Genomic DNA, 24,658 nt, shown 5'->3' with positions numbered 1-24,658 from the left:
GACTTAGCAGCTTTCTAAGTATTCACCGAGGAGAGACATACCCACACTACAGTCCATTTCCTCAACAGCATCCCCACAGACTCCGTGTTTACTTTTGCCGGCAAAGTCCTTGCTGGAGAACAAGGCCATGTGCACGTGGAGGTAGGACAAGACAAGCAGGAAAGGAGTCTCAGTGTTCCTGCAAAAAAAAAAAAAAAAAAAAAAAAAAGGGAGGAAAAAAAGACCACAGACAATGTGAGTATGTCTGCCACCCTTCTGATTAGGATCCACCTATTATCATAGCAGGCTATTTGAAAATTCACAAAATACTACAAGTTAATTTCCTGATGGTATCTTCTGTCAGAGAAAGGTAAGTCTCTATTTTGTCTCTATGAAGTGACTTATTGTTACCTTCTATGGATCAGTAAGTGAAGAATTATGTTACTGACACATCTCCCAAAGACCCAACTCAGAAAGAGATTTAATAGAAAATTGTCTGTATTTGTTTTTTTGTTTTGTTTTAAATTCTCTTTTTCCTTCTGTATGCGGTGATTAAAATGAATTCAAGCACCCTGAAAATAGTATTTTCTTTCGGAAAAAAATTATACACAAATATATGCACATTATTAAAAAATACCATCTTTTAAAAATTGTGATTGATATATGCAAATAATTATACATATATATATGAAATATATATATACAAAAATTCAAATACCAATTTGAAATAAATAAATTGATATACACAATAGTTCTCATATATACTTGTTGTGGACAATGCAGTAATATATGTCCACTTGTGGGATGATTAAATAAAGGTAATTAAAATATTCATTTATTGTATAGTTGTCATTTCTTTGAGGTGAAAATATTTAAAATCTACTCTCACCACAATTTTCAAACATATAATACATTGTAATTCACTATACTCACCAGGCAAGGCAATACATACCCTAACTATTCCTCCTGTCTAACTATAACTTTTTATCCTTTGACCAACATCTCCCCATTCCTCATCCACTCTCTTAGCCCGATTCCCTGGTAACTGCCATTCTACTGTCTGCTTCTAGGAGTTCAACTTTCTTCTTAGATTCCAAAAAGCAGTGAGATATTGTAGTATTTGTCTTTCTGTGTTTGGCTTATTTCCCTTAGCAGAATGTCCTCCAGGTTCATCCATGTTGTCACAAATGACAGCATTACCTTCTTTTTAAAGGTAAATCGTATTCCATTGTGTACCTTCATTTGTCAACTACTTTCATCAATGCCATTTTAAGTCCAACTCAACTTTGTGTTCTACCTGCTTCTATAATACAACAAGTATAAAGTGAACACTCAATGGTCAATACTGAAATTTTGAATAGAGTATTCAAAATTTTAATAGAACACTCATTCAATTGGCCCAAACCTATCGAGAGAGGAATGATACTGCCAATGTATTCCTAAATTCAGAGGGCACCTAAACCTCCTTCATTTGAATTGATTACAATGCACAGATGTTCAAGAGTTATAAGTCACTGTCAATGCATGGCCCTTGCTACAATGGGCTGTGAGCAATGTTGCTATAGGGAGGTCTGAGTTTTCACAACTGAGTCTGCTGATAGAGATCAGTAAGTCCCAAGGCTGCTTCATCACCTCAGGTTGCCCTCTGAGAGATGCATTTAGTGCTGTGTCTCAGTTTCACATTGTAGGCTCAATCTTTACCCCTCATCTGGGAAATAATTAGCAATTTCTTTCTGCTAAAAGACAATACTGGGTGAGAGGCCTTTTTGAAGGCTATCAGGGCACAGGACAAGTGTCCACTTCCCTAGGGGTGGAGGAAGCTCTAAGAGATTCATGCAAGAAGCTGCAATGCTTAGAGGGGAAACACCTTAATGACAGCCCCTGCCTCACTGCCCACTACCCAATGTCTTCTTCTTACCCTGATTCAAGCTTTAACTATTTCTGTGAACTTGGGTGGGTTCCTTAAATAACTACACTTCAGATTTATTAACAAAACATGAAGAGTCCTGATGAAGCCTTATGTTGATGCCAACACTCTCACACAGCCCAGCTTCTACCCCAATGTGATAACCAGTCCCAAACACAGCTTGCATATTCACAGCTCAATACTCTGCACATCATCATCTCTCAACCTAAAACTTACTTCCTCCTCTCCCTGGTAAGCAGTCATTACTCAGAAGCCATCTCCAATGCCACATTCTCTGAGAGCCTGTTCCCCTTTTCCAGGCAGTCCCATCAGAGCAAAGCACCATGGGGCATTTGCCTTCCACTGAATCTCCAAGCCCTAGCACCATGCATGGCCTGTAGATGATGCTTAATAATATTGCCAAACAAATGAGAGAATCAATGAATGGATGAGGGCAGGAATTTGATTTCTTTTTTTTTTTAATAGGAGAAAGGGCATACAAATTCATTTAATGTGTACACACAGGAGCCTTCAGATTGAAGATCCAAAGATAAAGGGTAAATTGTCTATTTTTCTGCTTAGGTTCAACAAAGCATGTGCAAATAGGATTGGACAGGCCAGGCACAGTGGCTCATGCTTGTAATCCCAGCACTTTGAGAGGCCAAGGCGGGCAGATCACGAGGTCAAGAGATAGAGACCATCCTGGCCAACATGGTAAAACCCCGTCTCTACTAAAAACACAAAAATTATCTGGGCATGATGGCACATGACTGTAGTTCCAGCTACTTGGGAAGCTGAGGCAGGAGAATCGCTTGAACCCTGGAGGTGGAGGTTGCAGTGAGCTGAGATTGTATAATTGCACTACAGGCTGGCAACAGAGAGAGACTCCATCTCAAAAAGAAAAAAAAAAAAAAAGAAATGGGATTGGGCAAAAGGTAATGGACTGAATGGGGAAAGCCGACAAGGCCTTTCTATCTAGTTTCTTCTTGGCCTCTCTGAGCCTTCCTCCTAGGTGTGGTGTAAGACCTTCTCTGGAATGGTACTACTAAGACCCACAGTCAAACAAGGTAGGATGGGGGATTTCTTTATGGCCGGTTTTTACATAGAAATGATGAGGAAAAATTTGTCCTATTTTTCAGTCTTATGACTAGCTTTGGGGAGAAGGTGTTCTGGTCTCTATAACCTGCCTTGGGGAAAAGGGATTCTAGTTTGTACGGCTAGCCTCAGGAGAGGATGAGACTGAGAGACAATTCTCTGCTGGTTTTCTCCTCTTTGTCTTCAGTATTCTCCAGTTTCACTGTTGGGGCTTAGAAAAGGGAACCCTAAAACAATATTGTTAAGCATCTTCCACAGGTCAGGCATGGTGCTAGGGCCTGGAGAGTCTTTTTTTTTTTTTTTTTTTTCTTTTCTGAGATGGAATCTGACTCTGTCACCCAGGCTGGAGTGCAATGGCACGATCTCAGCTCACTGCAGCCTCTGTCTCCCAGGTTCAAATGATTCTCTTGCGTCAGCTTCCCAAGTAGCTGGTATTACAGTTGCCCACAAGCATGTCGAGTTAATTTTTTAGTATTTTTAATACAGATATTTTTACACCATGTTGGCCAGGCTGGTTTTGGACACCTGACCTCAAGTGATCTGCCTGCCTTGGCCTCCCAAAGTGCTAGGATTACAGGTGTGAGCCACCATGCCTGGCCCAGATGTATGCTTTTCTAAATGCATTTGTATTTTGCTAATGTCAATATACCTTGGGATCCTCCAGACCATGTGTTTCCTTCTAGGTGAACTGCTCACACCTATGGCTGTAACACTTCCCATTTAAGGTCAATCCTTATATTTATTAACCCCTACTCCTGTTAAACAGAAAATTAACACAGAACAGCACACTTTGGGTGAGAGCTAAGCCAGGTATCTCCAGTTCTCTGAAAATAGGCAGATTAAATCTAACAAGTTGTTGGTAATAACTAGTACCATGTTTTATTATTCCAGTACATTGTGGCAATTTATGTCCCACTCCCCATCTTTTACAAGAATATAAAGCAAGGAAATTAATATCTCACAGCCCAGAAAGTAAAAAAAAGAACAAATTCCTCAGGGGTTTGTCTCTCCTCTCACAGTAACTGGAATAAGAAGGCATGCAATGAGAGCCCACTGGACCTGGTCTGTAACATTCACCATTATGTCTCAGAAAGAAAAGAGGACATACTACTGCTTAGATGGAAGCACTGTAATTGTCATCCTAGCTGATGACTTACATATGAGCCTCTCTACTGAGCCATGTGTTTGGCTCCTTCTAAGAGAAGATGCCCTTGAGGAACCTGGAGGAGCTGAAATGGAGCCACAGTATGTTAGAGAATTTGGCCACCCAGGGCAGACTGTGAGGCCTCCATCCTACTTATTATGGGGAAAGTTTATTCACACCTGGGCAAATTGCACCTCCTTCCCCAGAAGCAGATTGTGTTCTCCTAAACTCGCTTAGATTCCTCAAAACAAATATGAAATTACAATCTTTGTGTTCCTAATTAGATAGTTACATTATGTATGAGAATAGTCTCACTGCAATTTCTCTCTCATCTGCTCTCCCATTTATTTTTAGATTTAAAGTTAAAGAAAATAGATGAGAAAGCTTAAAATTTCAATCTCCCAAGCATGGTCATATAGCATGTGACTGGCAGAATTTGCTGAGCAGGAAGAGCTACTGCATGTTTCAACTTGGATTCTCCAATTTTGGATGGTTGTCCTCTTGTTCAAAAGTTCAAAAAAAAAAAAACAACAACAAAGAATGATAAACAAGAAACAGACACCAGCCAACATGATTGACAGGATTGTAAAATTGAAGCATATTAAAATGTGAGGTGGAAATAAAGAAATAAATGATAAAGATGGTACAACCAATAAATAAGAGAGCATGAAATACAAGCCAGTTCATGAGGACTTCAATAGCAGATGAGTCAGAGATCTAACTCCGGGTTCAATCAAGGCTATGAACATGATCTTTGTCTTGGAATGCAGGGGAATCCCCCTTAGAAAGGGAGAAGGAAATTAATGTGTTTGTTCTCACAATTCACATATTTATATAACTCATTTTCTAACATCTCTCTATAAAGCAGTGGTTTTTCATCCTATAGGTGACATCAGAGATACGAGCATCTTTGTGTATACTCTGTGCATCGAGTAGAGTTGATTAGGTTTGACGATACAAAAACAAACCCAGAAAACACAGAAAAGCATACTTGGCTTGCAAAAATACTGTTCCAAGATTTACCATCTGGAAACAGAAATGAAATCAATGGTGCATGGGAATGTTGGCTAGACAGACATAAATCACCAGATTTCCCACACACACCTAGGGTGTAATTGACAGCCTGTGCCCGGGTGAAGGAATTCTTGCTTTGTAGTATCCTTTGAGAGATCAGGAAAGGTCATTTGCTTCACACCCAGGCTCAGGGAGGAGATCTGGGCTCTCTTCTCTATGACCTAGAAAACTGAATGACATATCAGCAAGTTGGTAGGAGAAAGATTTCTCAATAACAGCTTAACTCCTTTTTTATTAGCTGGAGTACTTCAGTAAAGAACTGTTTTGAAAATTTATTGCCACTGTTTTTCACACTGTGCAAAAAGATAGAACTTTCAGCTGCTACATGCCTGTGCTCCGTTTGTTAAAAACACTGAAGGCAGCCCTGAGCCTTTCCAGGAACATGTAATCATTCCAATCTCAGAACAAAAAAGATTTATGTCCTATAGAGGCACGAATAAAAATGCAGGCAAGAAGATGCCTAAGGCATTTTTTTCTGTCTGCCATTAAATATAATTCTGAAGATATTCAGAATAATAATCTTCATCTGAGTGTCTGACCTTTATTATTGTAGTATTGTTCCAACTGCAGTGGACATAGGGAATAATGGGAATGCAAGTAGGGATGTCTGTGAATTCCTTCTGGTTACCTTTTGCTGCTGGTAATTAGAGTATGGCATAAATCAGATAGCGGTATCAACAGTCGCTGCCTCCCCACCCTCCCTGAAGTTCATGTGACCACCTCTATGTGCAGCAGGTGGATTTATACATCCAGCTGTTCATGTCTTCCATCTGAGTTTTGCAGTTACTAAGCAAATGTTCTGCTGACACATGATACCAGGCACTAGAAATACAAAAGGAGGCTGGATCGGACCCTGCCATCAGCAATCCACAGTTCAGACAAGAGCATTGACAGCTAATCTAAGCTGTCTTAAGTGCCCCTACTCAGCACTGCAGAGAATGAATTCAGAGAAGGAGAACTTATCTCAACCTGGCAGGGGTCAGAATTTGCTCCTAGAAAGAGGTAGCTTCCAAAGGTTCACATAGCATGACAGCATTTGTGAATGTTTTCCATAAACATGCAGGTTTTCGAGCTATTCACAGGTATGATATTCAGAGATACAGAAATTTATGGTTGGAGGGGCATTTCCAGGGTCAGGTTTAAGTATTCCTTATGCCCCAGTGAGTTGGGAATGGCATGGACCCACTGGATCTAGTATGGCAAAAGATAAATATCCCTCAGAACCTATATTGTTATGATATGCTCAGGCAGAAACCAGGGGTTCAAACAAACAAAAAAAAGAAGCACCTCACCCAGCTTTTTTTTTTTTTTTTCAGAGACAGGGTCTCGCTCTGTTGGGCAGGCTGGAGTGTAGTTCTGCAGTCTTAGCTCACTGCAGCCTCCAACTCTGAGGCTCAAGAGAGTCTCCCACCTTTGCTTCTTGAGTAGCTAAGACTATAGATGTGCATCACCATGTCGAGTTAAGATTTATTTTTTTAGAGACAAGGTCTCACTATATTGCCCAGGCTGGTCTCAAACTCCTGGAATCAAGCAATCTTCCCACCTTAGCCCACCTCAGCCGGCTGAGTAGTTGGGACTACAGGCACACACCACCATGCCCAGCTAATGTCTCTTTAGTTTTTGTAGGCGCAGAGTCTTGCTATATAACCCAAGGTGGTCTTAAACTCCTGGGCTCAAATTATCCTCCCACCTAGGCCTCCCAAAATGCTAGGATTACAGGCATGAGTAATTGTGCCTGTTACCTTCATTTTCAAATACATTATCTCATAGGCCCACAAAAGTTAAAAACAAATCATGCGTCATCTACAGTTATATAATAATGTGACTCTTGATGACAACTCTTTAATTATTTAACTTTTCCATTTTTGAATGAGCATCTGTTTGTATCCCGTGTATTGCCCTTAAAGTTTAATCTGATTTACTTTTCTTACCATGAATTAAAATCAATATCACCCCATTCCTTTCTGGCTTACACTCTTATCTAAAGTAATGAAATCTCCTAAAGATCACTTTATTCAAAAGACACTTTTAGCCAAATCACAGCTATTCATCACAGCCACTTACACTGGAGTCCAGCTGGAAATGGGAGAGGATAGGCTGGAGGTATCTGATAAATGCATTTCAGGATTGTGACCTTGCCAAATGGTGATGGCAGTACATAGACCAGGACAAAAAGTCATATATTTTCCAATAATACATTTACTATCTATCATAGATTTTAGGGGATTATGATTATACAAGCAATGCTTATAGAAATGAGTATTTATTTACCATTAAACTACAGATGATAGGAAATGGTAGAGGAGACAGTCTTTCCACAGTTCTCCACTAGGGGTATAATCTTTTCATGAAGATTATTTCCCTCCAACCCCCAACTCCTTGGTTACTGATACTTTCTATCATGCTGATGTCATGGTGTTTTGTTTTGTTTTGTTTTTCTGTGGAGAGTTGTCAGGGAGCAGGGTTTATTATAGTCAGAATAGGAGATGTTACTATGCAGGAAGTCAGAGATTAAAAACAGAACTCTACATCATTTTCAAATTTTCAATTTGGTACCCATAAACCCTTTGCTAAAAAAATCATTGATAAAGAACAAGAGTTAGCCTACATTGAGAGTGACTACAGATTATTAGTTTTTAATTGAAACTTTAATTATGGCAAATTTCAGATAAATCTATAAATCCCATAATTGGATAACATAACCTATTCATTGCTAACTTCACCCATCATCATGTACCCCTTATTTTCTTATCAGAACATTCAGGTACTTCTCCATTACCATGGTAATGACAACAATACTGACATTGAAACTTATCTACGAGGATTAAAGAGATGCATTCTCCTTCCTTAAGCATTGGACCTAGACTCTTCTATCTAGAGAAAGGTGTTCAGACACCCATATAGTGCCCTAATCTTCTTCCAGCTAATCCTCACTCAGTAAGTCTACCGCACCAGAGTGGATGGAGGAGAAGAGAATCCCCCAACTGTTTGTGGACCATTCCAACATTCAGATGATTGAGTTTACTCTGTTTAAATTCAGCCTCTACTCTTTATTACCTGTGGGGCTGAAATCAAAGGACTTCAGCCTGAAAGTTTCTTCGTGATGAGACATCTATTTACCGACCTTATGAGGTTGTTATGTGGTATGAAGGAAGCAATGGGTATGGAAGGTACACAAAGCAATGTGTGTATCCACAGCACCTGATACATAATTGGCAACCACTTCATGGTGTACATTATACTTGAACATGTCCCATTCTGTGTTACCATTTCTGCTGTGCACCTAAGTTGTATCTGTTTTGCATTGAAATGAAGAGAGGAATGGCAAAACCCAAAACTGTCATAATGGGATGAATCTGCAGAGCACATACAGAGCATTGGGTATCTTCACGAAATTTATAGTTCATTCCTCTCTGCAAGAATAACAAGGATTTCTGGTTAAAGTGTATGCAAGATGACCCATCTCCTGTGTGACTATGCAGCATATAACATATGGTGAGCTAATTATCCAACTCTCTAGTAATAGAAGGATAAATTTATTATCCTTCAATGAGACAATTAGGGTGAAAGATTGTGGAGTGCATGTTTATATATTCTAAATCATCACTCTCCTCAACTTGAAAATATGTGCATGGAATCCCAGGCCACAAACTGGGTTTGACTATGTGGACCTCATTTTCAAGAATCACAAACCAATGAAGCATCTTTGCCTTATGCCCCCTTGTCATTCATACACTAATATCACAAGCCAGCATCTCAGGAGCAAACCCCTGAGTATAAATCATATCAGCAACACAGCATAGAGAAAGACTGTAAATTTTAGAAGTAAGAATTTTAAATCATTTTCCTCCCACCTTTGACAGATGAACTGAGAAAAAGCTGTGTACAAATACATAAGTGTATATATATATATATATATATATATATATATGTTAAAATATCTAAACAAGGCACCAGTTGCAACTGGAAATTCTTAAATTCAAAAGCGTTTGAATAAATTCCACTAATACTACCATTGCTTTAATCAGGCATTCCATTTTCAGCTGCTGAATAACTCTACCTCCATTTCTTACAAAAGTTGTAAGACCTGGCTAAATTGCTCAGGATATTCTTGATAATGAAATAACACACATAAATGTGTCTTCAGATATTGAAGGAATGTTTTCTGAACATAGTGGTGTCACAAATATTAGGTCTTTGGTAGCATATCAAGGCCATTCTCTCAGGACTCTTGGATATCATATTCAGAGAATTAGATAACTAATCTAACACAGATAGACAGCTCTACCCAAGGATGATTGTAACAATGTGCTTTAAATCTTTGTATCTTCAGATAATGTACGTAAGAAGCTGTTTGTGAATGGCATCACAGTGTTCAAAATGCTAGCATTTTCACTAATATTAACCATGCAGTGCGTGCTCCAATGTGGATAATAGCCATCTACACTAGAATCACCTATTTTAAAGAAAAAACTCTTTTGTTGTAATTCAATAACCATCCCTCCAACTTTGATGTTGCTAGAACATCTTAAATCTCTAGTTCTAAAAGAAAATCTTAGCTCCCGAATAATTAGAGGTAATAAATATTAGCTTGTCAGGCTTCAATGTCCTCATGATCATCAAATTTGTTTTGGTCCCCTCCCAAAATTATATACTAAGGAAGCCATTAAAATGCCTTTTAATCATATGAATATTCACATACCTAACAGATTAAATAATTTCACACAAAATACATGTCATACAAGGTGATTCAGCCTGGAAGCCCAGGGTCATTTTTGACCATCATTATATGAAGGACATTTTATTAATCTCCACTCTGTATGCTTTTGAGAGATTCATGGTAGATGAAGACTAATATAAGGATGTCCAGCTTTCCCAGCAAATTTGACAAACAGCACACTGTTGTTTTATGCCTTAAATAGACTGGCCTGACATTCTTCCCAGAGTGTTGCTCCATCTTGGAATGGCTATGCTCCTGTTTATCAAACACAGTAAAGCTCGCACACCAGGTAAGAACATGGTCAATCATGTAGACTGTGACCCATTGATACATCATGAATTTAATTTAGTTCCACAACCAGATCATAAAACAAACAAACAAACAAACAAACAAACAAAAAAAAAACAGAATAAACCGGGGTAGAAAATATTAGGGTAATTACCCTAGTAAGAGAAAGATCATTTCTGTAAGCTTTTGTTTCAATCACATATCTGTGTGTATCTTATTAGATGATGATATAACTGAATGATGTATCTTATTAAGTTCCAAAGCTTTTACATGTTGGCATCAAGTTCTAGAAAAATCTAGGTGACAAATAATTGCAATATTTCAGCATAGTGGCCAAAGCTCATACATGTATATGAAACCCAGTGTTTCTTAGAGTGTCCTATGAAACACCCAGTTTAGAATGTTTTGGGAAGCTTATTAAAATGCTGATGCAAAGTCTCATTTCAGGACTACTCTGTGACAGTCCCTAGAGTTCATCCTGGCCATCTTCAGCTGTAATAAGCACCTCTGGGATTTTCCTTATGCAAAGTCTGAGGTATCACTTGTCTACCCATGTAGTCCTAGACTATCTCCCTTTTCCCCTCTTTGTTTACCTTTAGGAAGTCATAATGATCCTATATTATAACCCACCACACACTAGGCTAGCAAAGGGCCACCTACAATGCATAGTTCTGAATCAAGCACCATGTCCAGGAGGCAGGTGGCCACCCCTGCAATGCCTGCATCTAGCTGTGTGGGCTGAACACTGGCACTGATAACTCTGCAGTATCTCTGTGAAAATAATACTTGAAATAAATGTTCAGGAGTGTGACTGACAGCTTAAAGTCTTCCTTCCTCTCTCAGGAATTGCACAACATCCTTCACCATACCATTTTACTGTGAGCAGAATCCGATAGGTTTCTGCAGTCTCTGGTGCCTGGGTAAGACAGGCTGTCAGCATGGGCATGACATGATGGAGCTATGGTTACCCACAGACCCCAATGTTTACCCAGGACAGGCACCCAGACTATAGGCATATTGCCCAAGAACGACTCACAACCCCTCCAGCATGTGCCCGTCAGCCCAAATCTGTGAAAATCATGACAAATAGCCCACATCTTACCTGGATTCTGACAGACCAATAAATAGTTGCTTAAAGGACTTTCAGTGGCTATTATCCATCCCTGGGTAGAAAATTTTTTATTCTTTACATTAATACTTGCTGCTGCTATACATGCATATCTCCTACAGCTTCCCTTGGAAATCAGGATCAATAATTTATCTCTTTGTAAATTAAATACATATGTGTGTAAAGTACACATACATACACATATATATAAACACGTATTTAGTTTACATATATACACATATATATTTACTTTACACATACATGTATACACAAACATACACACACACAACACCAAAAAATATTTTTTCTTTACTCTTTCTCTGATGAAAATATTACAATACCAATGAAGAGTATACTTTACATCAACACTTCAAGTACAGACATGCATCATATAGTGGCAGAGACATAGTTCTCATATAGTTCTGACAAATGCATCATTAAGCAAATTCATCATTGTGCAATCATCATAGAGTGCACTTACACAAACCTAGATGGTGCAGCCTACTATCTACCGAGGCTATATGGTAAAGCCTATTACTCCTAGGCTACAAACCTGCACAGCATGTGACTGTACTGAGTACTTCAGGCAACTGCAAAGCAATGGCAAGTATTTGTGTATCTAGTCATATGTACACAAAGAAAAGGAACAGGAAAAATTACAGTATAAAAGATACAAACGTCCAGCTTTATAAGGCAGCTCCATTATAATCTCATAGGACCTCTGTCATATATGTGGTCCACTGTTGACCAAAATGTCATTATGTGGTCATGTCTACAATCCAAATTTTATAATAAATTAGCCCCTTTAGTTTACATTTATCTATAAACTCGGGCAAATTCCTTCAACCTCCACTCATATAGCTGTAATATCAAATAACCATTTTTTAAAATTCCAAGGCTCATATTGATTTTTCTCTTCATGTGCCTACATTTTGTACTTATGAATGTCTGTTAAATATTAATTTGCCTAGAGTCTGCACTAACTAGATGTTTGCTCAGATGTTCTTTTATTCTTTTGTTTCAGAGTCTGCCCTTTCTCTCCAGCTGTTCATGAGGTTTCATGGGGCTTTACTAAATGTCAGTAGTTTCCAAATGCAGTCCTCTGTTCCAGTTTCACCCAAGCACTGCAACTTTTATGCCTCTGACATACTTAGCTTCTCATAAAATTTCATCTGAAATATTCCTCAGCTTTAAAACAAATTTGAAAATCACTGCCTGCAGTAGGAAAATCACTTCTATGTGTTCAGTAAGGCTGTTTCACTTTCTTCTTCCTGAACATATGGGGAGACTGCCTCTTAGCCCCACGTCAAGTCAGTGTGGAGACATGGGGCCTGTTCTACAAGCTGACCCCTAGGTCAGTGAAGTAAGGAAAAGCTGCCAAGTGATCCTTCAACTCTTTTCTCCTGTGGATGCCATTGGGAAGGCCACCTACTAAGATGACAGAAGCACAAGATATTAGCAACCTGGATCCCTGAGTCTCCTCATGGAGCAAAGCTTCCCTACAGCGTCACCCAAGCAGCAATAGATTTTGAATGGGCAAGAAACAAACTTTCAAGTGTTAATCCTCCAAGATTTTGTCAGTCTTCACTGACAAAAACAGAAATGGCAGAGGAAGTGGGATGCTAACCAAAATGAAAAAAACTGTGAGGTGCTCTCTTAGCAGTTGGACAGCTAGTACATAGAATACTCTCTGGAGTCAAGTCCCAGAGGCTGAAACTGAGAATAGTTACAATGACCAATGACCAGTTTTTATAATTCACAGTTAAACAACAATTTAGATTTTAATAAAATTTGTTAAAACTGAGAGGTGGTGTGAACTATAAGAACTAATCATTCTACTTCTGTCTGATTTTTAGAGGGAGGAAATGACACTATCAATGGCAACTTTTGTGTAGGTCACTTCATAGTCTGTTCAGACACCCAAACCATATGTGGGTTTCTGTCAGAGTTGACGAAACACTTTTGTGATAACAGATATACAAAAATATACCCTATGATTTATCTATTGCATAATCCATGATGTTGTGGGTAGCAGGACACTGTTGTACCTCCAGGTGAATGGGTTGCTTCTATGCTGTTTCATAACTGGAAGAAGAGAGTGAGGAGAACCACTGCCATTCCCAACCTCCAGTAAAGCATCAACTCCATGCACACAAGATCTGGACAGAGGAACACAACATCTTCCATGTGAGGAAACGACAAAATAATTTTCACAGAGTATGTTACCTTTTACCGTTCTCACCAGTCCTACCTTATGTAGCTTCCACATACCTTAACTACATATTTCTTCTTAGGCTAAGCACATTTGCTTATTTTTAAATTAAATCTCTAATATACTTTCCTTTCATCACAGTAACTTCCCTTTTATTGTCAATAATTGTTCAATCCAGATATTGATTTTAGAATTTTGTGTCATGCAATTATTTGGATGATAAACCAATATTACTTACATTTCCTTTGCCTCCTTTATAATTTTTTAATCACCCCCAAAACTATCTTTTAAATCTTCCCTAGGATTTAAGTCACCATAAAGACCAAAGTTCTGGCCGGGCGCGGTGGCTCACACCTGTAATCTCAGCACTTTGGGAGGCCAAGGCGGGTGGATCACGAGGTCAGGAGATCGAGACCATCCCGGCTAAAACGGTGAAACCCCGTCTCTACTAAAAATACAAAAAATTAGCCGGGCGTAGTGGCGGGCGCCTGTAGTCCCAGCTACTTGGGAGGCTGAGGCAGGAGAATGGCGTTAACCCGGGAGGCGGAGCTTGCAGTGAGCCGAGATCCCGCCACTGCACTCCAGCCTGGGCGACAGAGCGAGACTCCGTCTCAAACAAACAAACAAAAAAAAGACCAAAGTTCTGATTTTCAGTTGAAATTTCCATTTCTCTTCAATGTCCTGTCCTCTACAGTTACAAGTTGAAAAAATACTTTAATTTGTGTGTTTTGAATAGCAAATATTCTTGATTAGCCTTTACATATCTAACTATGTATTTTCATGCTCTCTATATTATGTATTATAATATACGTATATATTATACTTATACCTGTATAACTCAGGAATATTCTCTGCTCCTCTGTTGACAGTTATTCCATTTACAGATTGCAATCCCCAAAACTATAAACTCAGTGGGACTCAAGAGACCCAAAAGATGTCATTCACTTCACCCAATTTACTTACAGAGGTCTTTGTTTTGTTTTGTTTGCCCAGAGATTGGCCCAAAATATTTTGGATCTTTCCACATTATTTATGTCACAAGGACAATCTCTCAGCTAAACATAAACCATTACCTTGCCTCTCTTGATGGCCACATTTGAAGAGTAAAGGCCAGCGGGTTATCTGACACCTCCTTTGTCATCAGCAGACATTATTTTGGCATGGACTTTCTGGCCCAGGATGTGGGGAATGTTGGCAAAGAGACCCTAAGGAGAGCACACTGCATTGCAATACCTTTCTGAAGCTGTTAAACATGTGCTATGGAGATCTCTGGATGAAGAAATATGTTAGGTATGGAAGGGAAAATGTGGCTAGCACAATAACGCTGCTGGTTCTTCCAGCTCCACAAAAAAATAACCCAGAATGATTTTTTTTTACAGGCAGTATCAGAAGTCAAGGCAATACCCACCACTATATGAACTGGGCTGCCTCCACCATTAGCCTCTGAGTGAGATTGCCATAGGACATGGGCTGCTGAATGATCTGGTAGTTCCTCATGATGAAGAAGTTCAGGGACTGGAAGTAATCACAGAAGCCCAGGAAAAGATCAGGATCAGAGCTGCTAGGAAGAGAAGGCCAAAAAAAGTGGCCAGCGGCAGGTGGAGCAGCCCCAGACAATTGAGTGCAGTGAGGGTAAGGAGGGCCACTCTGATGATCTGCAGGGGGATGAAGACCGGTCTCTTGAAGCCCATGGTGAAGACACTGCCCTCCCTTGCCTTGCTGTCTCTCAGATGGGTTAAGGAGGTCATCCCATAGAAATAATCAAAGCTATGATGAAAAGCAAGAAGTCAGTCTTGCTGTGACAGCTTATCCCAATGTGCCATTTCTCTGAGAAGACAAATGGGGGATCACTTCAGTCCCAATAAATACCCTGATTCCAATCCAAGCTTCTTTTCCCACATACTGAAAAGGAGGCTCTTTCTGACTACTTTATGAAGCTAACCTTCCTGCTCATAGGACCTTAGAGTTTTTCACTTCTTTTTCCACAAATGCTAAGGTATTACCTACTCAGTCTACCAGAAAATAGGAAGTAATTTAGTGATTCCAACAAAACAAAACAAAACAAAAAAAAACAAAAAAGCCCAACCGGATCAAAATCCCAAAAGAAAATACCTAACATTTTTAATGGGCAGGAAACACTCCACAGAAAATTACAAGGGTTTTTTTTTTTTTTTTTTTTTTTTTTGTCTTTTTCTTGCCCAGATGCTTTTCTGAGACAGGCCCTTAAAATTAAAGTTTTAGAAGCAACTTAATTTTGTTCCATGAATGTTAAAAGTGGAAATGAATACTTACTTCAGAACATACCCCTGAGACATGAAGAAATCACTCTCAGTAACTCAGCAATTATTTAAAGCACCTCTGAAAATGTCCTATAAAATGTTAATTAGATCACTAAATTAATGAGTGCCTCAAAAAATGATTTTTTTTAACAAGATGTTGGAAGAAAGAGATGAGTCATTTTGCTCCTCTGAGGTTCGCTAGGATTCATCTTACGACTTGCTTAGACTCAAGTTCTTCATGCAGTCAGGAAGGTGTCAATCCTATCTACAGTATAAAATCAGTGAGTGTGTCAACCATGACAAATTCTGACATAATTTTAGTACTGGAAAGTAAAATGAAAATTTTTATCAATAGCATGATGTGTATATATAGTTTTGTGTGTTCCATCTATATGTCTATCTTTCATCTGTTACATCTATCATCTATTTCATCTATCTATTTATCTATCTATCTCTATTTCATCCATCCATCCATCCATCCATCCATCCCATCTGTCATCTTTGCCTCTCTCGTTGCATTTATTTATTGATAATATCTATCTATCTAGCTATCTATCTATCATCTATTTTATCAATTTATCCATCCATCTATCTCATCTTTGTCTCTTTCTGCATCTGTCTATATATCGATGTATATATGTATCTCTCTATATTTCTATCTGTTTCTCTATGTGTCTCTTTATTATCTATCTAGGTAGCTAGGTAATTAGCTACCTAGTTAGCTATCATCTATTCCATCCATCCATCCATCCATCCATCCATCCATCCATCCATCACATCTATATCATCTTTATCTATCTATCTATCTATCTATCTATCTATCTATCTATCTATCTATCTATCTATCTATCTATCTACCTATCCATCCATTCATCAATGCTTTCTTCCAACCATCCATTCATCCATTTATCCATCTATCATAAGGAATTATCTAAGTATCTATTTATCTCTACACACACACACCAGACAAAACACACACACACACACACACACACACACACACACACACACACATCTATACATTCAAGTAGTCCAGGTAGGCTCATTGTGGTTTTAACCTAGAATTGAAATAATTTTGTTCCCAATTAAAATTGTTCAAAGTATACCACTGATGTTATCCCTAAGATAATTGTCATGATGCTCTCTCCCACTCTTCTACGAACTTTGTCCAAGTCCTCCCTGCTGTTCCTCAGATGCCCATACCTATTAGCACTGTTGAATAGCCTTCAACCTTCAGGTAATCTCATTGGTGGGAAGTCCTCCCGAAGAGGCTGTGAGGAGGAAACCTCCAGTGCAGGACCAAGATGCCATTCCTGAACCAGGAAAAAATAAACCCTTAGGAACCAGGAGATACCTGGAGGTGAGAAGCTGTCCCAAAGGAGACCACAGCCCCTGCAATGCAGTTAGGTTACCTGATCAGACAGGCTACCGGCCAGTCATGAAGGCTGCCCTGCTTGGTGTGCACAGCGGTGATGCTGCCAAGTGCTGAGTGAGTTTCACTCCCTCACTGGCCAACCAGTCAATATTGGGAGTCCTAGAAAAAAGAATGATAGTATTTGTGATCATTTTCATTTATTGTTCATTTATTTATTTTTGAGGCATGGTCTCACTCTATACCCAGGATGGAGTGCAGTAGTGCGATCTCCGCTCACTGCAACCCCCAACGTCTGAGAGTTCAAGCAATTCTCCCAACTCAGCCTCGTGAGTAGCTGTGACAACAGGCATGTACCACCATGCCTGGGTAATTTTTATATTTTTTGGTAGAGACAGGGTTTCGCTATGTTGACCAGGCTTGTCTCAAACTCCAGACTTTAAGTGATCTGCCTGCCTCAGCCTCCCAGAGTGCTTGGATTAAAGATGTGAGCCACCGTGCCCAGCCGCCTTGTGATAATTTTCAAAATGAAGCTGTGCTGTGGCTCTTTATAGTAAGAAACTTTTCAATGAGCAAGGGTGAGTCTGGGGTTATGAGAGGGAGAGAGAAAAAATGAGATGCAGAGGAAGCAGGAAAGAAATGATACAGAACCAAGACTCAAACTACAACAAAACCATGGAGATATGTGAATGATGAAGGTAGGACATCCCCAGAAGGTCCATTCATGCTATAGAGGGCTGTGAGCTCCTGGTCCCACTAGCCCCGAGTTTGAAGAGAGAAACCAAGTCTTAGAAATGGTATACTACAAGGAGGGAAGGTACTCCCACTCACATCTTCCAAGTTTCTCTGTTTCCCAAAAAGAGAAATCTGCAGGGTCAATCTGACTCCCCTCTTCCCAACACAGCCAAAGGGAATAACAAAAACCAGCTTTAATAAGCCCCTGCCTAATTTCCTCATGCCCCCAGGGACAGGAAATACTCAGATTCCATTTGCCTCAACAGTGAGCATCAATAAGTGGGTTAATATGCTCCAGGGAAAACGCACAAACATTATAGTGAAGAAATTAGATGTTGTGATCCCCACATACCCTTTGTTGGCTTATTTTTTAATACACTTTATAAATACTTGTTATGAGCTCACTTGTAAAGTGATACCTTATGCAAGATAAGCCACCCTGGTGCCTTTTCTCCATGAATGGATAGGCTGATCATCGTTTGGAAGTCATTTAGGAATTAATATGTTTTAGTTTTTGGACCATACTAAGCTATACCCCACAAGATATATCCCAAGTCCTCCACTGGGAATCCTGGAATCCCTTTCTCCCTACCTGGCTAGTCATCTGCCATCCTTCAGTTCCAGGTACAGATGAAATTCTCAGGGGCCTCCAGTGCTCTTCCTTGTTTATGCAAGGAAATGACCTGTATTTAGGAGAGTAGTCCATACTCCACCAACCCACCAGCTTCCTCACTGTGAAGCAATGATATGGCTAACTAGGCTCCCCTCCAAGATGGCCACCTGTGGGGTGGGAGTATACATCTTGTTCATTGGTCCTATGTCTTCCCTAGAGCAATACTCTCCAAGAGTAGTGCTGCAGTGATGCATAGCTTGAAGGGGGAAATACTTCCTTTGGATCTGTAATGTCAAACTAGTGGCCATTTATTAATTTAGTGAATGTGTTTAATTATCAGTATTTCTACTTTGCTGTTTTCTTAAAGAGTGAGCTGCTTAGAAGATGGAGAGGGTTTTTGCATTTGAATTAAACCTCCTAGTGTCTATACTGGCCCATGGAAAAAAATGACTATTTTGGGGTGTGATATTACAAACTATAATATGAGAAATGTAACTCAGAAAAAACGGGACTCTAACATAGAGCCCAAGACAGATCTAGGGTTGATATTGCTATCAATTCTTCCATGGGACTTTTAGACATTTTTTCTTTTGATAATTGGTAAAGAGTTAACTTTAAAGACTTGGCTCTAACTTTTTAATTAAGACATCTTGGTAGGAACAGTTATCTATTATCTCAATACACCTTAGGAATACATAAAGTTAAAAAAAGATAAAATAAAAAACTGAATAAAATTGTGACACTGGTAAGAAAAACTAAATTAAAAAGATCTATATCACAGATGTAAAAAGTAATCTGTAAAAGTTTTAAAAATGCAGGCAAAAGGTGAGGCAGAAAACACACATAGATAATTAATTAAAAGTGCTCTCTTAAAACTGAGATCTTATCTTTGCATATGCTTTTTAAAATTTAAGCAACATCATAGGTCAATCTAATTTTAAAAAAGTAAAAAGCAATGTTATGCAAAGGTTCAGGTTGAAAGTGAGACACATTTGGCTATGTCTTGTGGAGAAGATTTTCTTCAACATTATGATTTATGTGTTTACTGAGGAGCTGCCTTTCCAACCTGAGAGTCCTGTTCCCATAGCACCCAGGATCTCCAATGCCAAGGTCGTCAACCATGACCAGGATGATGTTCGGCCTTGATGCTGCATGGCTCTCAGCTTCTCACGGAAAGAACAGTAGGTGGAAAGGAATCTTCTTCTTCCTGTAAAGGACAAGGACACAAAAAGGAAATGAACAATGCTGGCTTGTGGTTGGCTGTGACCCTCCACCTCTTGGACCCCTATCCCTCCTTGCACAAAGTGACTGGAGCGGCCATTCTTAAAACTTGCCTTTGTCACACAATATGTGCAAGAAAGACACTTGTCTTTGCTCAAGCAATCCTCCTGCATCAGCCTCCCAAGTACCTGGGACTATAGGCATGTGCCACCATGCCCAGCTACTCTTTGTATTTTTTGTGGAGATGAGGTCTTGCTATATTACCCAAACTGGTCTTGAACTCCTGGGCTCAAAAGATCCTTATGTCTCAGCCTCTCAAAGGACTAAGTTGTGATGCCTGTCCTGGCTTAGTAGCTTTTTAAGGGAAACATGGAAACCTTTCAAAACTCAAAGTGCACAAGGTCACCAGCCTGGGGCAGCTCTTTGTGCTGGAAAATATACAGAGGGAAGAGAATTCATCCATTGTCCATGTCTGCCATCTCAACACTCTCTCACCTCACTGCATTTCATTCCTTCCAAGAATAACAGGTGGAGGAAGCTTCAGGGAGAATGGCAGCTTGAACACACACACAATGCCTCTTTTGTGTGGAGGTCTATGTGTGTGTTCCATAGCCTGTCTCCCCTTGAGTCAGAGTCCCTCTTGTTGAGGGGGTTGCTGGCTTTCTACTTCATTTTGTGGTTTGCCTCTCTTCTGATTCCTGCGGTTTTGCTGACCCACCTGCAACAGGTTCTCTATTCAGAACCAGAGTTTATGTTGAGCAAATATGAGTAGGTTACTCAACATGTTTCCCAGCCAGAGAAAGGCCTGGCTTGGTTTCTTTGAAGGTGGTAGGTAGGTGTGTGGTGTGGTAGCCCTAGATCTTACTCAATATCAATGTCTTTCTAGTCTTCTCCCCATAAGCTGTGGTAGGCAGTATCTCTCCCACCTCCTGGTTCAGAGTCCTGAGCCAGGTTCTTGCTCTCAAAAACTTCTTGGCTGATTGTGGTGGCTCACACCTATAATCCTAGGACTTTGGGAGGCTGAGGCAGACAGATCACTTGAAGTCAGGAGTTTGGAATGAGACTGCCCATCATGGAGAAGTCCCGTTTTTACAAAAAATACAAAAATTAGCCAGCCATGGTGGCATGTGCCTCTAACCCCAGCTACTTGAGAGGCCGAGGCAGGAGAATCGCTTGAACCCAGGAGGCAAATGCTGCAGTAAGTTGAGATCATGCCACTGCACTCCAACTGGGGTGACAGAGAGAGACTCCCTCTCAAAAAAAAAAAATCAAAAATCAAAAAACAAAAACAAACTTCCAGAGCCAAGTCTCTGCTGCACTGACCCTGACATCAGGAGACAGAACTCATTACTTTCTCTTTCTGTTTCTCACCTTCCCAGGGGGAAAAAATATACATATATTCTTTATTTTTCTCACTAGCCCAGGAAAAAATTTCATGACATTCAGTTTAGGTGGTGGTGGGGTGGGTAGCTGTTAATCATATCAGCTCTCTGAATCTTAGTTTTCTTAACTGTAAAGTGAAAGAAATTGAACATTTTTTTCATTTTATTAAGTAATTTTATTTTTATTTATTTTCTTTTAAAAAATAATTGAGACAGGGTTCTGGCTCTGTTGCCCAGGATGGAGTGCAATCATGTGATTATAACTCACTGCAGCCTCCAACTCGTGGGCTCAAGTGATTCTCCCACTTTAGCCTCCTGAGCAAGCTAGAATTACAGTTGCACACTGCCATGCCTGGGTAATTTTTTTTTTATTATGTTTCAGAGTGAAGGACCTTACTATGTTGCCCAAGCTGGTCTCGAGCTTTTGGGCTCAAGTGCTCCTCCCACATCATCCTCCTGAGTATCCGGTATGATGGTGAGCAACACTGGGCTTGGCTAATTTATTTTCAATTATTATTGAGGAGATAGGGTCTTGCTATGTCACCCAAGCTGGTCTCAAACTCCTGGGCTCAAGTGATCCTCCTGCCTTGGCCTCTCAAAGGACAAGAATTATAGGTATGAGCCACTGTGCTCAGCTTAATTTTACTTACTTTTAATTTTTTAAATGTGTGCAGATTTAGGGGGCATAGTACAGATATCTTACATGCATGTGTACTGGTGGAGTCTGGGCTTTTAGTGTACCTATTTGTTCTCTCCTGACACTGGACCCTCATTGCTGCATATGTGGAGCACTGATCGCCCTTCAGCATGTAAAGTGGCATGTGAGCTTGACCTTACTCTGCATCTGCTCTTGCACTCACACCAGACTTAGTGCATGTGGACAGCACCCCCAGAGTCACTGAGGACACTTGGCATCAAGGCCAGTGCACACAGTATGGCAGAATCTCTTCCCTGGCTTTCCAGCAACACCTGTCAGAGTGAGCTGTTCCCTCGCTCAGGTATGCACTCCTCTTTGAACACGCTCCCTGAGGTTCCTATTGTGTCCCTCCTTCTGCAGAGTCTCTATTTGCTGGTTCTTCCTCATTCATGGACCTCAGAATCAGGATCACAACCCCACATAATTACAAAGGCTGGATGGGAGATGGGAAATGGCCTGGGTTTAGCAATTGATATGGGGAGGGGACTTTGCCAACCCAGAGCTTGCACCCATCCTGAAAAATGTTATCTTGTAGTAGCTTCCAATTTTTAAAGAGAAGACAGACACACAGAGTTTCCTCCAGTTATATGACCATTAGTTTGATAATTTAAACAAATGTGTAGGCTAACTTGGTGCAAGTACTCAAAGAAACAATCAAACAATGACTATACGTATTTCCTGACCTGGTGCCACTTCTTAGTGTCCATTGTCCATTGTCCAGTTCATAAGTCTCAAGACACTTTGTGCTTTTCCTAAATATTGTAATCCTCAAGACACTTTCTGCTTTTGTGATCTCCTCCTTACCTTTATGAAATACACATGCTGTCTTGGTGAGATTAAATACCAGATGAATGCTAAGAAACACCACAGTTTTTCATCCAGAGAGACTGAATGTCCAAACAATGAATTAGGTTCTCCATACGGACATCTACCTGGTATCTTGAATTTAACATGTTCAAACAGAGATTATGAATGTAAAAAGCACTCTGCTATTATTATGTGAAACTATTTTTGCCATTGAGTCTAAAGGCCCCCAATTTAGTTTAATGTGCTTAAATGCTAAATACAGACAAAGCTGGTGCAAAGTAACTTCTTACTGAATTCCTCATGTAAGACTGAATGAAATAATCCAGACACACAATGTCTTCATGTCAAAGACTTTGTCCATCTTAATGGTTAGGCTAATATTTACGCTTTGAAAAAAAATGAGAAATAACCTCTTTTTTTAAAAGCATGGTTTAAGACTGTGGACTTGCACAGTGAGAAGCTGGAATGAACTTAAACACTGGCTTCAGAGTGTACCGCAATATGCAGATAGTATAATTTCAGTTAAAAAATGCCTTGCAAATCCCGCATCCCAATTCTTTTATTTTCAGATGGGGAAACTAAGACTCAGAGAGATTGGCTGGTCATGGGGGCTCGCACCTATAATCCCAGTGTTTTGGGAGGCTGAGGAGGGACGACTGCTGAAGCTCAGGAGGTTGAGTCCAGACTGGGAAATATGTAAGATCTTGTCTCTAAAAAAAATAAAAATAAAAATTATTTGGGCATGGTAATGCACGCCTGTGGTCCCAGTTACTTGAGAGGCTAACACAGGAGAACTGCTTGAGCCCAGGAGTTCCAGGCTGCAGAGGGCTGTAATGATGCCACTGTTCTCCAGCCTGGTGACAGAGTGAGACTCTCTAATTAATTTATTTATTAAATACAGAATACAGACTTTGTACCAAAAAAACCTGGCATGAATGTAAAGGCTGGCTTGATATAATATAACAACATTCGTATAATATTCAGGTAAGACAATATCAGTTAGAAAAGACCAGGCAAATAATGTATCTCAATTCTCTTACTTTCAGAAGGGAAAACAAAGACCCAGAGAGATTCAGTGAACTGCCGTAGTCATACTCACAGCAAGCTGTGGTTTCTAGACTAGCACCCAGGACTCCTTATGGCTCTTCTCTCTCAGATTGTCCCTGGAACCCAGTATTTCTAATGGGCTTTTCAGCATTCCACATGGTGGAGACTTCAGTGCTTTTCTAATTACTCAAGCAGTTCCCTTAGCTACTGAATAATGCCTGTCATTTCCCAGGGCTCTGTACTGATGCCTCCTGTTCCTGCTGATAGAAACAGGTCCTGTCTAAAAACCTCACAACCACTGCCCACCCAGACTGAGTCCCACCACTGGTGGCTGATGATGAGGATACGGAGCTCTGTCTCATGGACTTTGGGGTTTAATACTGCTAAAGCCCCTACTGCTGCCAGATGGCTGGCTCCTGCACTGGTTGTTCCTGAAGCTTCCAGCTATATGCTGTTGATGCCCTAAGTCCTAATATTTCTTGTGGATTTCAGTAAAAGCGCACTTCACTTTTTTCCCCCTTGGAACCTGAGAATTAGGTAGACTTCCCTGTTGAGTGATCAATGGACATGTGTCTGAATGTCAATAGATTTCTCTAATCAGGCTACCTGGCTGTGGCCCATACTGCTTCTCAGCCTGAACTTGGAAGGAATTGCTTCTCAATAGGCTTTTTTATCTGAGTAAAACAGACTTCTGTGGTGCTTCTACCTTGGGTCCTGAAGATATGTCTCTATCCTGGATAGAATACACCTTAGGCATAGGTTGGGCTGGAAAGTATAAATGCATGCTATATGCCAATTATGTCTTTAAAAATAAGCCTTGTTCTGATTAAAAATGGGTGGTAGATTATTATTTTTAAAAAATAAGTACTCAATCCCGGGGAATTGGAAATAATTGTTTAATAGATACTGAGTTTCAGTTTTGCAAGATGAAAATAACTCTAGAGATAAAGAGTGGTGATGGCTGCACAACAGTGTGAAC

The 24,658-nt window shown here is 39.9% G+C and overlaps 1 pseudogene; it reads right to left on the bottom strand.

The window, feature by feature from the left end:
* STSP1 (steroid sulfatase (microsomal) pseudogene 1) lies at positions 41-19,732 on the bottom strand (annotated as a pseudogene).

The sequence above is a fragment of the Homo sapiens genome, chromosome Y, assembly GCF_000001405.40.
Source record: "Homo sapiens chromosome Y, GRCh38.p14 Primary Assembly".
Taxonomy (NCBI): domain Eukaryota; kingdom Metazoa; phylum Chordata; class Mammalia; order Primates; family Hominidae; genus Homo; species Homo sapiens.
Note: the sequence above shows the minus strand (reverse complement) of the source record. Positions and strands in the feature narration are given on the sequence as shown.